The sequence below is a fragment of the Homo sapiens genome, chromosome 5 (assembly GCF_000001405.40).
Source record: "Homo sapiens chromosome 5, GRCh38.p14 Primary Assembly".
Taxonomy (NCBI): domain Eukaryota; kingdom Metazoa; phylum Chordata; class Mammalia; order Primates; family Hominidae; genus Homo; species Homo sapiens.
Genome location: NC_000005.10, coordinates 36053552 through 36067088, shown reverse-complemented (window position 1 = coordinate 36067088; position 13537 = coordinate 36053552). Strand labels below are relative to the sequence as shown.

General features: G+C 42.9%; 1 protein-coding gene across 4 annotated transcripts in view, besides 1 other annotated feature; it reads left to right on the top strand.

Annotated features, from left to right (window-relative positions):
• Window positions 1–206: 206 nt before the first annotated feature.
• UGT3A2 (UDP glycosyltransferase family 3 member A2) overlaps window positions 207–13537 on the top strand; it is a 31862-nt gene continuing 18531 nt past the window's right edge. For 2 of the 4 annotated variants that reach the window (NR_031764.2, NM_174914.4), the window contains exons 1-2: window positions 207–393; window positions 2739–2840. Coding sequence is in view for 3 of the 4 variants with exons in the window: in NM_174914.4 (NP_777574.2) it covers window positions 300–393; window positions 2739–2840 (196 nt within the window). In the remaining variant the exon portion in view is untranslated. Of the gene's footprint in view, window positions 394–2738; window positions 2841–12027; window positions 12109–13537 lie in introns of all 4 variants that reach the window. The other 2 variants (XM_011513988.2, NM_001168316.2) reach the window with 2 other exon arrangements.
• Window positions 6644–7144: an enhancer, noted in NCBI's record as "H3K4me1 hESC enhancer chr5:36060047-36060547 (GRCh37/hg19 assembly coordinates)". NCBI's record gives its function as "activates a minimal SCP1, AML or CMV promoter by ChIP-STARR-seq in primed H9 embryonic stem cells {active_cell/tissue: H9 hESC(primed)}" and the evidence as "EXISTENCE:reporter gene assay evidence [ECO:0000049][PMID:30033119]".

The following is a 13537-nucleotide window of genomic DNA, read 5'->3' as shown; positions in this document are numbered from 1 at the left end:
AGGATTTTCCAGGCAGGAGGGCTGTGATCACAAGGGCAGAGCAGGGTTAAGTATGGGCTCACCGACCCCTCCTACTGACTGCTGGTAGTTTGGTAGAGCGAGGATAGATTATCCAATGGAGCACGAGGGAGGAGGGGCAGAGGGCAAGAGGGGATGGACAGAAGAGAAGACTGGCAGGATCCTTACTCCTACCTCTACCCACAGCCAGTGCCTTTGGCGCACTGAGGTGCACAGGGTCCCTTAGCCGGGCGCAGGGCGCGCAGCCCAGGCTGAGATCCGCGGCTTCCGTAGAAGTGAGCATGGCTGGGCAGCGAGTGCTTCTTCTAGTGGGCTTCCTTCTCCCTGGGGTCCTGCTCTCAGAGGCTGCCAAAATCCTGACAATATCTACAGTAGGTGAGTGCTTGGCCGGAGAATTCCCAGACAGGCGCGTCCCGGATACTCGCACTGCCAGGGCTCCAGAGAACAGCGCTTGATCAGAGTCATCCACGTGATTTTCCAGGCTGGGCTTGCGGACCCGGCTGGAGGAGGGAGAAGCCCATTCAGCTGTGGGGCAGAGAGGGGCCTCTATTGCTGAGGTGGGGAAGAAAGTTTTGGAGAAAAGAGATTCTCCTTTACTGTCTTCTTCCTGTTCAGGACGCGCCCCCATCCCGCAGGGCTGGGGCCAGAAATTTGAGACTCATCCCAGAGCTTGAGTTCCTGGGCTGCCTTCTCCAGGGCGCAGTGGGACTTTCAGAGGCTCACCTTAAGCTCCGGAGGGTGCGTGTGTGTGGGTGCACAGTAGCTTCCAGTAGAAACAGTGGTGAGCGTTTTCAGGCTCTTGGAGACCAGGGAAAGGCCCTCCTGAGGGCAGCACTGCAAATGTTGTGAAGCTGCATCCGGAGCCAGGGTGGCGCAGGCAGGTATTTCATGGCTGCAATGCCAGTGGAGTGTTTTCCACCAGGGGAAACCTGGAGAACTGCCGAGGGCTGAGGAGAAGATCCAGGTCATTCGCATCTTTTGGAGTATCTTTCCTTTTACCTGTGCCGCTGACCGTTATTTGAGGGATTCATGGGACTGTTAATTCTGCATTTTGGGTCTCAGTTTTACTTCTTTTACTTTTACCCCAAAGGGAATAGAAGATAAAAGAGAAACATATATGAACATAAAGGGATCATCTCAGGATCGAGCTTCCCCAAGACTTTATTTCAACCCATAGTGGGTTCTAATGGATTCCTTTTAGATCATGGAGAATTAGGGCTCGTAGGGCTGGGAAGAACCACAGATCATCTAATTTAGTGCCCATTTTCATTTCCTGAGAGGGCAATTGAAGGATGGGGAGTGAGATGCCTTCCTTAAGAGCACTTGTGGCCTCCCTGATGTCCCATGAGGAATTAACTCAGGGTTTTCTTACTGCAAGACCATGCTCACCACAACTTCCACTCTGAAGCCCTTTTCACTGGGGATTTTCAAAAATCACTGTTTAAGAAACAGTGCAAGTCCATTTGAAGACTTTTTCCCCCTCTTTCTGAGTGTTAGTAGCAGTGAAGCAACAGAGCTTCTTAACTTCTTGAAAGTACACAGCCCTCCTTCCTCAGGCTCCAAGAAGGAGTTGATGTCATTTCTGAGGTGCTAGAATGCTGATTTTTGCCCCAGAAAGCCACCTGACTCCCCAAGATCCACCGCTAACAGCTGTTTCTGTGGGGACCCCTTCTTCCCAGCTCCCTGTTCTTACGTGGATTAAAATGTGAGCAAGACCTGTTGCAGATTTGTACTTTATACGTCCCTTGTTGCTCCAGACTATTCAAGCCTGGGTATAAGTAAACTGAGTCATTCAGAGAGCTGAACACTACTTCTCTACTCCCTTCCACCCCCACCCCGCAGGCTTTTGGTATTTACTATTACATTACCTTCTCTTCTGATCTTCCTTTCTCTGCTGCTGAGAACCTTAGATTCAAGCAAAGGCTGTGTATTAGAACATGTACTGAGAAGACATTGATTTCGTGGAACTTGTACCTCTTTTGAGGATCAAGCTTCTCTTTCCTTAGGATGGATGTTTCTGGAATCAATGATTCCCTAGTCTCTCGTGCAACCAGGATCCAGCAGGCCCACCCCAAGCGCCCCACAGTTGTCCTCAAATGTCTTAATTAGAACTTGATCATTGTGTGGCCTAAATTAAGTACATCCTTTCAAAATACATTGGAATCTTAAGGATTTGGATTCTAAGTAGTGGCCCCTCATTCCTTCTGTTCCAGTGATGATTTCTTGGACCAATCTCTTAAGGTTTCTATCTCCTACAGCAGCAGAAATGTCCAAAGAGCAGGATCCCAGAAACAGCTCTCATTGTTTTTTAGGAACTATTCACACTCATATGTACAACACCATACCTGTATTTCCACCAGTGCCGTGATTTCTTTTGGACTCTGTGTCTCCATAAGGCCTTAGTTAAAATATACATGTACCTCAGGATGAGGAACTCCCATGGCTAAGCACATAGTAGCTCATTACACTGACATGGATACCGTGATTCACAAGAGGCAATCTCTCACGGACCAGAGCCACAGGTAAAAATTTGGGCGGCCATGCTCTGGGTGAGTGGGCTGGGTTTTACCCAGAGGGACATGAGGAGACTGGCAAAACTCATCTTCCTCCAATCACTATCCACTTCTGTTTCCTTACCTTTCCTCTCCTGGATTGATCACTACTGACTTCAGACACTGTATTCTCATCATTCCAGAACTGAAGTTGTGCATTGTTCCTAGGTGGAAGCCATTATCTACTGATGGACCGGGTTTCTCAGATTCTTCAAGATCACGGTCATAATGTCACCATGCTTAACCACAAAAGAGGTCCTTTTATGCCAGGTATCTTTTCTCACTTTTCTTGATTTCTCCTACTCCAAGCAAAGAGCAAAATGCTGTTTGCATAGAAAGGCTTAGCAAAATGTTTTTTAAAAATCTAATTCAATTGGAAGGATGAAAAGCTTGTGTGTGTGTGTATGTAAAGTGCCAAAAAACTTCTTAGTCTCTAATTACCGGGACCTGACGTTCCATACTCCCATATTTTTTTTTCCCCTTACTTGACTTCTACTCCATCCCAAGCAACCATCCACTCATTATTATGGATTATTTTAACAAATACTACTTTATAAGATGGCTTAAAAAATATATTAAACATGGTGGGGCAAGGTGGCTCACACCTGTAATCCCAGCACTTTAGGAGGCTGAGACAGGTGGATCACTTGAACCCAGGAGTTTGAGACCAGCCTGAGCAACATAGGGACACTCTGTCTCTACAAAAAATACAAAAATTAGCTTGACATGGTGGCACCCACTTGTAGTTTCAGCTACTTGGGAGGCTGAGGGTGGAGGATCGCTTGAGCCAGGAGGCAGAAGTTGCAGTGAGCTGGGAATGCACCACTGCACTAGAGCCTGGGCAACAGAGTGAGACTCCACCTCAAAGACTCTCTGTATATAGATAGAACAGAAATATTCAGCCTTATTTAACACTTCTTACATGTAAGAATCACTGTTCTTTTTATAGATTACTTTTCCTCTTTTTATGATATCGGAATTTAAGTAAGCTTTTGCAGGGAGACCCTTATTTATGCAGCTAAGTTAGGAGTCTATGGCTGAGATGGTCTTGCATTCTTGAAAAATAAGTGGCTGCCCACGAGTTTGTGCATAGTGATTTCAGATGTTCTTAATGGAGTCATTGAGTCCAAAGAATTTTAGCCAAAATGAAGCTCATAAATCTTATCAACACTTCTGTTGATCCACAAGGAAACAGAAACCCTGAGAACTTAACAGATTTGCTTGATAACAGAGTTGGGTGGATTTAGGACTTTATGCTCCAAATTGCTCAATATGAAAGTGTTGCTCAGGGAAAAGCCCAAACTCCATCATCATGCAATACACCTGGACATGCACCCCCTGAAGCTATAATTTTAAAAAAGAAAAAAAATCCAAAAGCAAGCATCTTGGAGGGAGAAAATTCTGAGATATTTTCAACCTTTGAAGATAATATCAGGCCTTGTCATTGTTCAGATTTCTAAAACCATTTTTTTTTTTTTGAGACAGAGTCTCGCTCTGTTGGCCAGGCTGGAGTACAGTGGCATGATCTTGGCTCACTGCAACTTCCATCTCCTGGGCTCAAGCAATTCTCCTGCCTCAGCCTCCTGAGTAGCTGACATTACAGGTGTGTACCACCATGCTCGGCTAATTTTTTGTATTTTTAGTAGAGATGGGGTTTCACCATGTTGGCCAGGCTAGTCTCGAACTCCTGACCTCAGGTAATCCTCCTGCCTTGGCCTCCCAAAGTGCTGGGATTACAGGTGTGAACCACTGCATCCAGCCAAAACCATTTTTTAATCTACATTTTCTCATTTAAATTTTGCCAAGTCAATCCTAAGCCAAAAGAACAAAGCTGGAGGCATCACACTACCTGACTTCAAACTATACTACAAGACTACAGTAAACAAAACAGCATGGTACTGGTACCAAAACAGAGATATAGATCAATGGAACAGAACAGAGCCCTCAGAAATAACGCCGCATATCTACAACTATCTGATCTTTGACAAACCTGAGAAAAACAAGCAATGGGGAAAGGATTCCCTATTTAATAAATGGTGCTGGGAAAACTGGCTAGCCATACGTAGAAAGCTGAAACTGGATCCCTTCCTTACACCTTATACAAAAATCAATTCAAGATGGATTAAAGACTTAAACGTTAGACTTAAAACCATTAAAACCCTAGAAGAAAACCTAGGCATTACCATTCAGGACATAGGCATGGGCAAGGACTTCATGTCTAAAACACCAAAAGCAATGGCAACAAAAGCCAAAATTGACAAATGGGATCTAATTAAACTAAAGAGCTTCTGCACAGCAAAAGAAACTACCATCAGAGTGAACAGGCAACCTACAAAATGGGAGAAAATTTTCGCAACCTACTCATCTGACAAAGGGCTAATATCCAGAATCTACAGTGAACTCAAACAAATTTACAAGAAAAAAACAAACAACCCCATCAAAAAGTGGGTGAAGGACATGAACAGACACTTCTCAAAAGAAGACATTTATGCAGCCAAAAAACACATGAAAAAATGCTCATCGTCACTGGCCATCAGAGAAATGCAAATCAAAACCACAATGAGATACCAATCTCACACCAGTTAGAATGGCAATCATTAAAAAGTCAGGAAACAACAGGTGCTGGAGAGGATGTGGAGAAATAGGAACACTTTTACACTGTTGGTGGGACTGTAAACTAGTTCAACCACTGTGGAAGTCAGTGTGGCGATTCATCAGGGATCTAGAACTAGAAATACCATTTGACCCAGCCATCCCATTACTGGGTGTATACCCAAAGGACTATAAATCATGCTGCTATAAAGACACATGCACATGTATGTTTATTGCAGCATTATTCACAATAGCAAAGACTTGGAACCAACCCAAATGTCCAACAATGATAGACTGGATTAAGAAAATGTGGCACATATACACCATGGAATACTATGCAGCCATAAAAAATGATGAGTTCATGTCCTTTGTAGGGACATGGATGAAATTGGAAATCATCATCCTCAGTAAACTATCACAAGAACAAAAAACCAAACACCGCATATTCTCACTTATAGGTGGGAATTGAACAATGAGATCACATGGACACAGGAAGGGGAACATCACACTCTGGGGACTGTTGTGGGGTGGGGGGAGGGGGGAGGGATAGCATTGGGAGATATACCTAATGCTAGATGACGAGTTACTGGGTGCAGTGCACCAGCATGGCACATGTGTACGTATGTAACTAACCTGCACAATGTGCACATGTACCCTAAAACTTAAAGTATAATAATAATAATAATAAAATTTAAAATTTCATTGTGGTAAAATATATATAACATAATCTACCATTTTAGCCATGTTTTTTAATTGAGTCAGAGTCTTCCTCTGTCTCCCAGGTTGGAGTGCAGTGGTGTGATCTTGGCTCACTGCAACCTCCGTTACCTAGGTTCAAGCGATTCTGGTACCTTAGCCTACCAAATAACTGGGACTACAGGTGCGTGCTATTAGGCGTGGGGCACCACGCCTGGCTAATTTTTTTGTATTTTTAGTAGAGACAGGGTTTTGCCATGTTCGCCAGGCCGGTCTTGAACTCCTAATCTCAGGTGATCTGCCTGCCTTGGCCTTCCAAAGTGCTGGGATTACAGGTGTGAGCCACCGCACCTGGCCCCATTTCCAATGTACCGTTTAGAGGCTTTAAGGACATTCACATTGTTGTAGGACCATCTCTGAAATTTTCAGAAGTTTTTCATCATCGTGAAGTGGAACTCTACTTATTAAACAGTGACTCCCTGTGGCTGACAGCCACTATTACTTCTTGAAACCATCACTAGGACAGTTATTACTGTTACTACTTGAGACCATCATTACGAGACTGAACGAAGGATGACGAACGTAAAAATGAAAACTTAAAAGAAACGGTTGTAAAGGGGCCAGGGGAAGAAGAAAAGAGCTCCCCGCTTCTAGTGAGCAAAGGCAGCCGCTGAGCTTCCACAACCCTTTTTATTGGGTAGAATGAGCAGGGAGGAGGAGGTAACGATTGGTCAGCTGCTTGATTGATCACAGGTTCATATTATTACTAACAGGCTTCAGATTTGCCTAATCGTAAGAAATATTGCACTTGGGGCGTGACTGCCCTCAGCATTCCTTCTGGGTGGCAGACGCAGTTTGTCAGTTTGCCAACATTCTGCATTTTATGAGAAACAGTCTGCTGTTTACTCATATAGCCTCCAGTGGTATACTGAGTTGATCACAACCCTCACTCTTTTGGCCTCCAACATTTCTCCCTTTTTGTTTTTGAATTAATTTGAGAAAGGCAATTACTGGCTGTGCAGCCCTCAATTGCTGGTTGGTGGTCCAGCTTATCTTACAGATGCACAGGAAACCATGGCCAGCATGGCCACAAACATGGAGTCAGGGGTCTTTGCCTGACCCTGATGCTCTAACAGTTTCTCAGCTTCCTGTGTGGTTTTCTTGATCTGTCTGCATGTCATGGGGGTTGATGTGAGTGTGACTCCAGTTGGTCCTCATTCCATCTTCACATTCAGATTCAACTGGCTCATGGCTTGTACTGGGGGAACCAGGCCTGTGATTGGAATCCATGAGTCCCTCCAGTCTCCTGTTCCATGGTCGCACACACCTTGAGAGCACCCACACGGTTTGTTCATTTTCTGTGAAAACACAAACATACCCTGGTCCCCACCTTAGTAAATCTACCAAAACAAAAGCAAAGGTTTTTGTAGCTGTAGCCAGGAGGCATGCTGTTGCTGAAGCATCTGCTCCACAAGCTACAATTCAGCTTCTGCCTCTTTTGGTTAATTGCTGCGGGGTAAAACATTCCACTGATAACAAGAAACAGGCTCTTTCTGATTAACAGAAGACACAGAGAAAGCAAATCTGAGGCTTATCCTTGTGCTCAGTTCCCACATCTTGACAAGCTCTGAGAAAACCTCCCAAGTCCTCTGCACATCTCACAGGTGCCAGCAAATGTTTACAATCCACGAAAGCCAAAGCTAAAGTTAGCCTTTCTGTAGCCGCAGAAGACGGTACAAGCCAATTTTCATCCTCCCTCTCCTGCTCACCACCCTCAATAGGTGTTATAGGTGGGGCAAAAAATTCTCTCAAACCCTGAAATAACAAAAAGATGATATGTACCAAACTCCAAAAAAAAAAAAAAAAAAAGAGAAAAGAAATAACCAAATTCTTCCCCATGTTATTTTGATTCAAAAACTTCTCATTCTTTGGACCTCTAGGGCACTAAACAGTACATGTTTTAGAACACTGACCTTATGTTGCTGCCAGCAGACTTGTAATGGGGTTTCTCGTTCATCTGGTTGGTTTTAATTTTTTCTGGGCTTTAGTTTTTTCTGCTCCCAGACCTTCCTCACTCAAGTCCCTGTAGGATGCTATGTGTCCCTATCAGTGCCTGCAAGTTTCTGCTAGTCTCTGCTAGTCTTTATCTATCCCTATTTGTCCCTGTGGTCCCTGTTAGTTTCTGCAAGTCCCTGTCTTTCCCTATTTCTATTTGTTTCTATCTCTATTTATTTCTATTTATCCCTGCTTATCTCTGTTTGTCCCTGCAGGCCTCTTCAGGTCCCTGCAGGTCTCTTCAGGTCTCTGTTTGTCCCTGAATGTCCCTATTTATCCCTGTTCAGGCACCACTTGTGGTAGACTGCCACAATTACTACTTGTTACTGTCATTATGAGAGACATTACTCTTACTACTTGAGACCGTCATTACGAGACTGAATGAAGGAGGACAAACACAGAAATGAAAACCTAAGACAAAAGAAACTGTTATAAAGAAGGGGGCCAGGGGAAGAAGAAAAGAGCTCCCCGTTTCTAGTGAGCAAAGGCAGCTGCTGAGCTTCCACAACCCTTCTTATTTATTGGGTAGAATGAGCAGGGAGGAGGAGGTAACGATTGGTCAGCTGCTTGATTGATCACAGGTTCATATTATTACTAACAGGCTTCAGATTTGCCTAATCACAAGAAGCACTGCACTTGGGGCGTGACTGCCTTCAGCATGCCTTCTGGGTGGCAGACGCAGTTTGTCAGTTTGCTAACATTCTGCATTTATGAGAAAAAGTTTGCTGTTTACTCATATAGTCTCCAGTGCTATCCTGAGTTGATCACGACCCTCACTCTTTTGGCCTCCAACAACGCCCCATTACCCTCCACCTTCAGCCCCTGATAACCATATTCTATTTCTCTGTTAATTCACTATTCTGGGTACAGCGTATAAGTGAAATGATACAATATTTGTCCTTTTGTGTCTGGCTTGCTTTATTTAGCATAATATCTTCAAGGTTCATTCATATTTAGCATGTGTTAGAACTTTTTTATGGCTGGATATTCAATTTTATGGATACATCACATTTTGTTTATCCATTAATCCATTGATGGACATTTAATTTTTTCCACTTTTTGACTATTGTGAACAATGCTGCTATGAACACTGGTATACAAATGTCTTTTTGAGTCCCTGCTTAAAACCATTTTAATATCTTTTACATTAGTTTTCATATTCTTCACTGCCTTCGTATCTGCCTAAACTGGATATCTGATTAAATAGTTGTAGTATATTCATTTTTAAGACAATTATTTCTTAATTTCAAAAATTGTAACTAAATTAAATTGATTTAAATTAAAATGTAGGTGAAAAATTAATGATGACATTTCCAATAAACTTTGAGAAACTACTGGCTGGGTATAGTGGCTCACATTTGTAATCCCAGCACTTTGGGAGGCTGAGGCAGGAGGATCACTTGAGCCCAGGAGTTAAAACCAGCCTGGGCAACATAGTGAGACTTCATCTCTACTAAAAATAAAAATAAAACATTAGCTGGGCATGGTGTCATGCTCCTGTGGTCCCAGCTACGTGGGAAGCTGAGGCAGGAGGATTGTGTGAGCCCTGGAGGCTGAAGCTGCAGTGAGCCATTATCATACCACTGCGTTCCAGCCTGGCCAATAAAGTGAGACCCAGTCTGAGAAAAAAAAAAAAAAGAGAGAGAGAGAGAGAGAGAAACTACTGAAAGCTACAGACCTTTTACTCTTTAACAAATACAAGCAGAGCAAAATCTATAAACAATTCAAGGAATGTGTGGATCCTTTCTGTTTTTTCATAGGATTAGGAGTCTAGAGTTTCTTTTAATAATTCCCTCATCATGGATGTCTCTGAAACTTTGAAATAGAATTCCCATTTTTCATTTCATCCGTAGAGCTTGGCTGAAGGTCTGCAAACAAGGAAACACATGATTGGGTTATTATTTCTGATCAGATGCCCAATTTAATGAATTGAAACATTTGAGCCAATTATTAACTCCTTATTTGGAAACACTTTCCCATACTGTTTATTTATTTGCAACTTTAATAAATGACATCAGAGGCACTGAAGAAGCAAAGGTTTCTAATACTGACATGTACTACTGCTCCAACCAATCAATATCTGGAATCACAATTGGATTATACATATTGGCTAGAAGAATATTCAAGAGATATTCACGAGCATGAGAGAGAAAGCCTAAATTGCTTTGAACAGACTGTGAGTAGAACTGGAGATTCTAAGAACTCTGCTAGTGATGACTCAGAAGGAAGGAAAGAACATGATAGAGAAAATCTGTATTGTCTTAGAGACTATAAATCATCATACACAGGCTTTTTGTAGAAATATAGATGTTCAAGTGTTCTTACTGTCTATAGTAAAATGTGAGAGGAAAGATAAATTGAGAAAATAACTATGAGGCAGAAAACGAGGACTTTATGGTTTTGGAAATTCTCAGCCTATTAGGATGATAAAATATTTTAAAATTGGGGAATTCAATGTCAGGAAAGCAGTGTATCCTGTTGTCTTGTAGAGAAAGCCAATTGTATGGCTGGACAGCCTTTTGCTATTGCCTCTGCAGGATTAAACGGTCAGAGTATTCAGTCACACAGAAAGCTCACTGAAGAGATTAGCATGAAGCAGGTTTGGTGTGCACTGGTTACCAACTTGCCTGAGTCTGCTAAGAAAGAACACCCACATAACGCAACAAATTCCATGAAGTGGATTTATTACTTGCACGTGCGCAGCAACCAAAACCTAAAATTCATTGTGAGCTGGTCCTCCAAGGTTCAGAAAGCTGCCCGGGATGAATGGAGTCTCAACTGTACATGCCCCACTTGCCCTGCAGATAAAGGACCACGAAGTGCAGACCACCTTGGGTTTTATACCCTGGAGAAACATGACGTACTAAGCTAAGTGTTGAAGGACATCCTGTTTCTAGTGGAGACTGTAACAAAGCCTGGGCTATTCCACCCAGTACCTCTCTATCTCAGAGTGTTACATTTCCAGCACTTTCTGCAGTTATTCTTGATAACTACAAGTGACAAGCAGAGAGGAAAACAGGGTCAGCCCAAGGCCACCCTGAGAACTGTCCTGCAATTAGATGTATGTCTCATGGATTCCTTCAACCATAATGGCAGAAGCCACCAATCAAGATGAAACTATCTCGTAAAGATGTGTGGAGGCTGGGCGCGGTGGCTCATGCCTGTAATCCTAGGAAATGAAACAAAGGAAAAGGAAATGAAACAAACAAAGGAAAACATGGAAAAGATGGATAGGACAAGATAATGACTAGTCTACACATAAAATAAAATATCTATTTCCGCAAATAAACATAAACAGAGGATCATCACTATCTCACAGACCTGGTGAAAAGGAATGAGAACATGTCCCTGAAAGGATATTTATTCTTGTTCAAAATAAACAGGTTGAAATGAAAAGGAAAAGGAATAGAAGTAAAATATTATTGCTACTTAGATCAGCAAGGTAGAGAGGAGGCACATGGAGTTGGGGATAAAAGAAAAGAAGTAAATGAGTAAAATAATTGAGGGGATATTACTATAAGGCAGCCAGCCAGATAAAAGATTTTAATGGTCCACATTACAGAGGCAACATATTAAAAGGATGATGAGGTGAACATCTAGACACTAGCTGGTGGTCTTGCTCTTCTAAAAGTCAGTGGATCCTAGGCCGGGCACAGTGGCTCACACCTGTAATCCCAGCACTTTGGGAGGCTGATGCAGGCGGATCACCTGAGGTCAGGTGTTTCAGACCAGCCTGGCCAACATGGTGCAACCCTGTCTCTACTAAAATACAAAAATTAGCCAGGCATGGTGGCTCGTGCCTGTAATCCCAGCTACTCAGAGGACCGAGGCACATGAATCGTTTGAACCTGGGAGGCAGAGGTTGCAGTGAGCCAAGATTGTGCCATGCACTCCAGCCTGGGTGGGTGACAGAACGAGACTCTGTCTAAAAAAAGAAAAAAAAAAACAAACTGCAGAGCAGCCTCTTGTTTAGTGGAATGAATTACTATGACATACCCACGAGGGTCACAAGGTACCCCCCCAAATTTTTTTTTTTGAGATGAAGTCTTGCTCTTGTCATGCAGGCTGGAGTGCCATGGTGTGATCTCAGCTCACTGCAACCTCCTCCTCCCAGGTTTAAGCGATTCTCCTGCCTCAGCCTCCCGGTACCCAAGAATTTTATACCTTCAGAAGTACTGCCAATTTGGACTAAAAGGTATGAGGAGAATATGACAGGGAGGAGAATATGACAGGAAGGAGGGCTGTTGAACTCCCCAGATTCTGCAAGTAGGAAATAAACTGACAAACCACTCAGCTGTAACCACATGCAACGATTCATGAAAAACGAAGGAAAACTCTGAAGGTGAAGCAATGAGCCCAGATGGCAGAGCTTCTAGCCCAGAAGGCTGAGCCAAACCACAGGATTATTTCCAGTCCTTAAAACCTAATTTTGTTTGCCCAGTTGGAGTCAAAATGTCTTGGGACTGGCACCTCATTTTTTTTTTTACTTTCTTTTTGCCCCCATTAGAATAATGTCTATAATTGGTATCCTATGCCTGTCCCACTATTGGTTTTGGGGAGCAGGTCATTTTTTCCTAGTTTCATAGATCCACAGAAGGAGAGCAATTTTGCCACTGAATGGATTACACCCAGACTCTCACCCACACTTGATGTAGATTATTTGGATGATGTGATTTGGGAATTCCGAGCTGATGAGCTTTAGATGAGATTTTTCACTTTGAATTGATAATATAATTGTTTGGGACTTTGGGGGATGTTGGGACAAGATGAATACATTTTCATTCCAAGAGGGGTGTATATGAATGTCTGGGATCTAGAGAACACTCTGTGGTAGGCAAATAATGCTCCCTCCCAAAGATATACATGTCTGAATTCCTATAATTATGAATGTGCTATTTTACATGTTCGAAAGGCAAAAGGATCTTTGCAGATGTGATTAATATAAGGATTTTGAGACAGGGAGACTATCATGGATTACCCAGGTGAATCCAGTTTAAATGCAAGAGTTCTTATAAGGCAAGCTTGTCTAACTCGTGGCCCACCAGCTGCATGTGGCCCAGGACAGCTTTGAATGTGGCCCAACACAAATTCATAAACTTTCTTAAAACATTATGAGATTGTTTTTGCAATTTCTTTTTAGCTCATTAGCTATCATTAGTGTTACTGTATTTTATGTGTGGCCCAAGACAATTCTTCTTCTTCCAATGTGGCCCAGGGAAGCCAATAGATTGGACACCCCTGTTATAAAGGAAAGAAGATGGTAGGAGAGTTAAAGAAGTGATGATGGAAGAAGAAATCAGAGTGATGTGATTGCCTGTTGGAAGGGGGCCATGAGCCAGGGATGCAGGTAGCCTTGAGAAGCTGGAAAAGGCAAGAAAATGGATCGTTCCCCAGAGCCTCCAGAAGAAATGCAGCTCTACCCACACCTTGATTTTATTCTAATGAGACCCATTTTGGACTTCTGATCTCCAGAACTATAAGACAATACCTTGTGTTGTGTTAAGCAACTAAGTTTGTTGTAATTTGTTAAAGCAGCAATAGGAAACTGAAACAGCCATGATAGGTGCTCAGAAGAACTCCAGGAGGCATGAAAGGAGGATGCTAAAGCCTTTACAGTGCAGGTG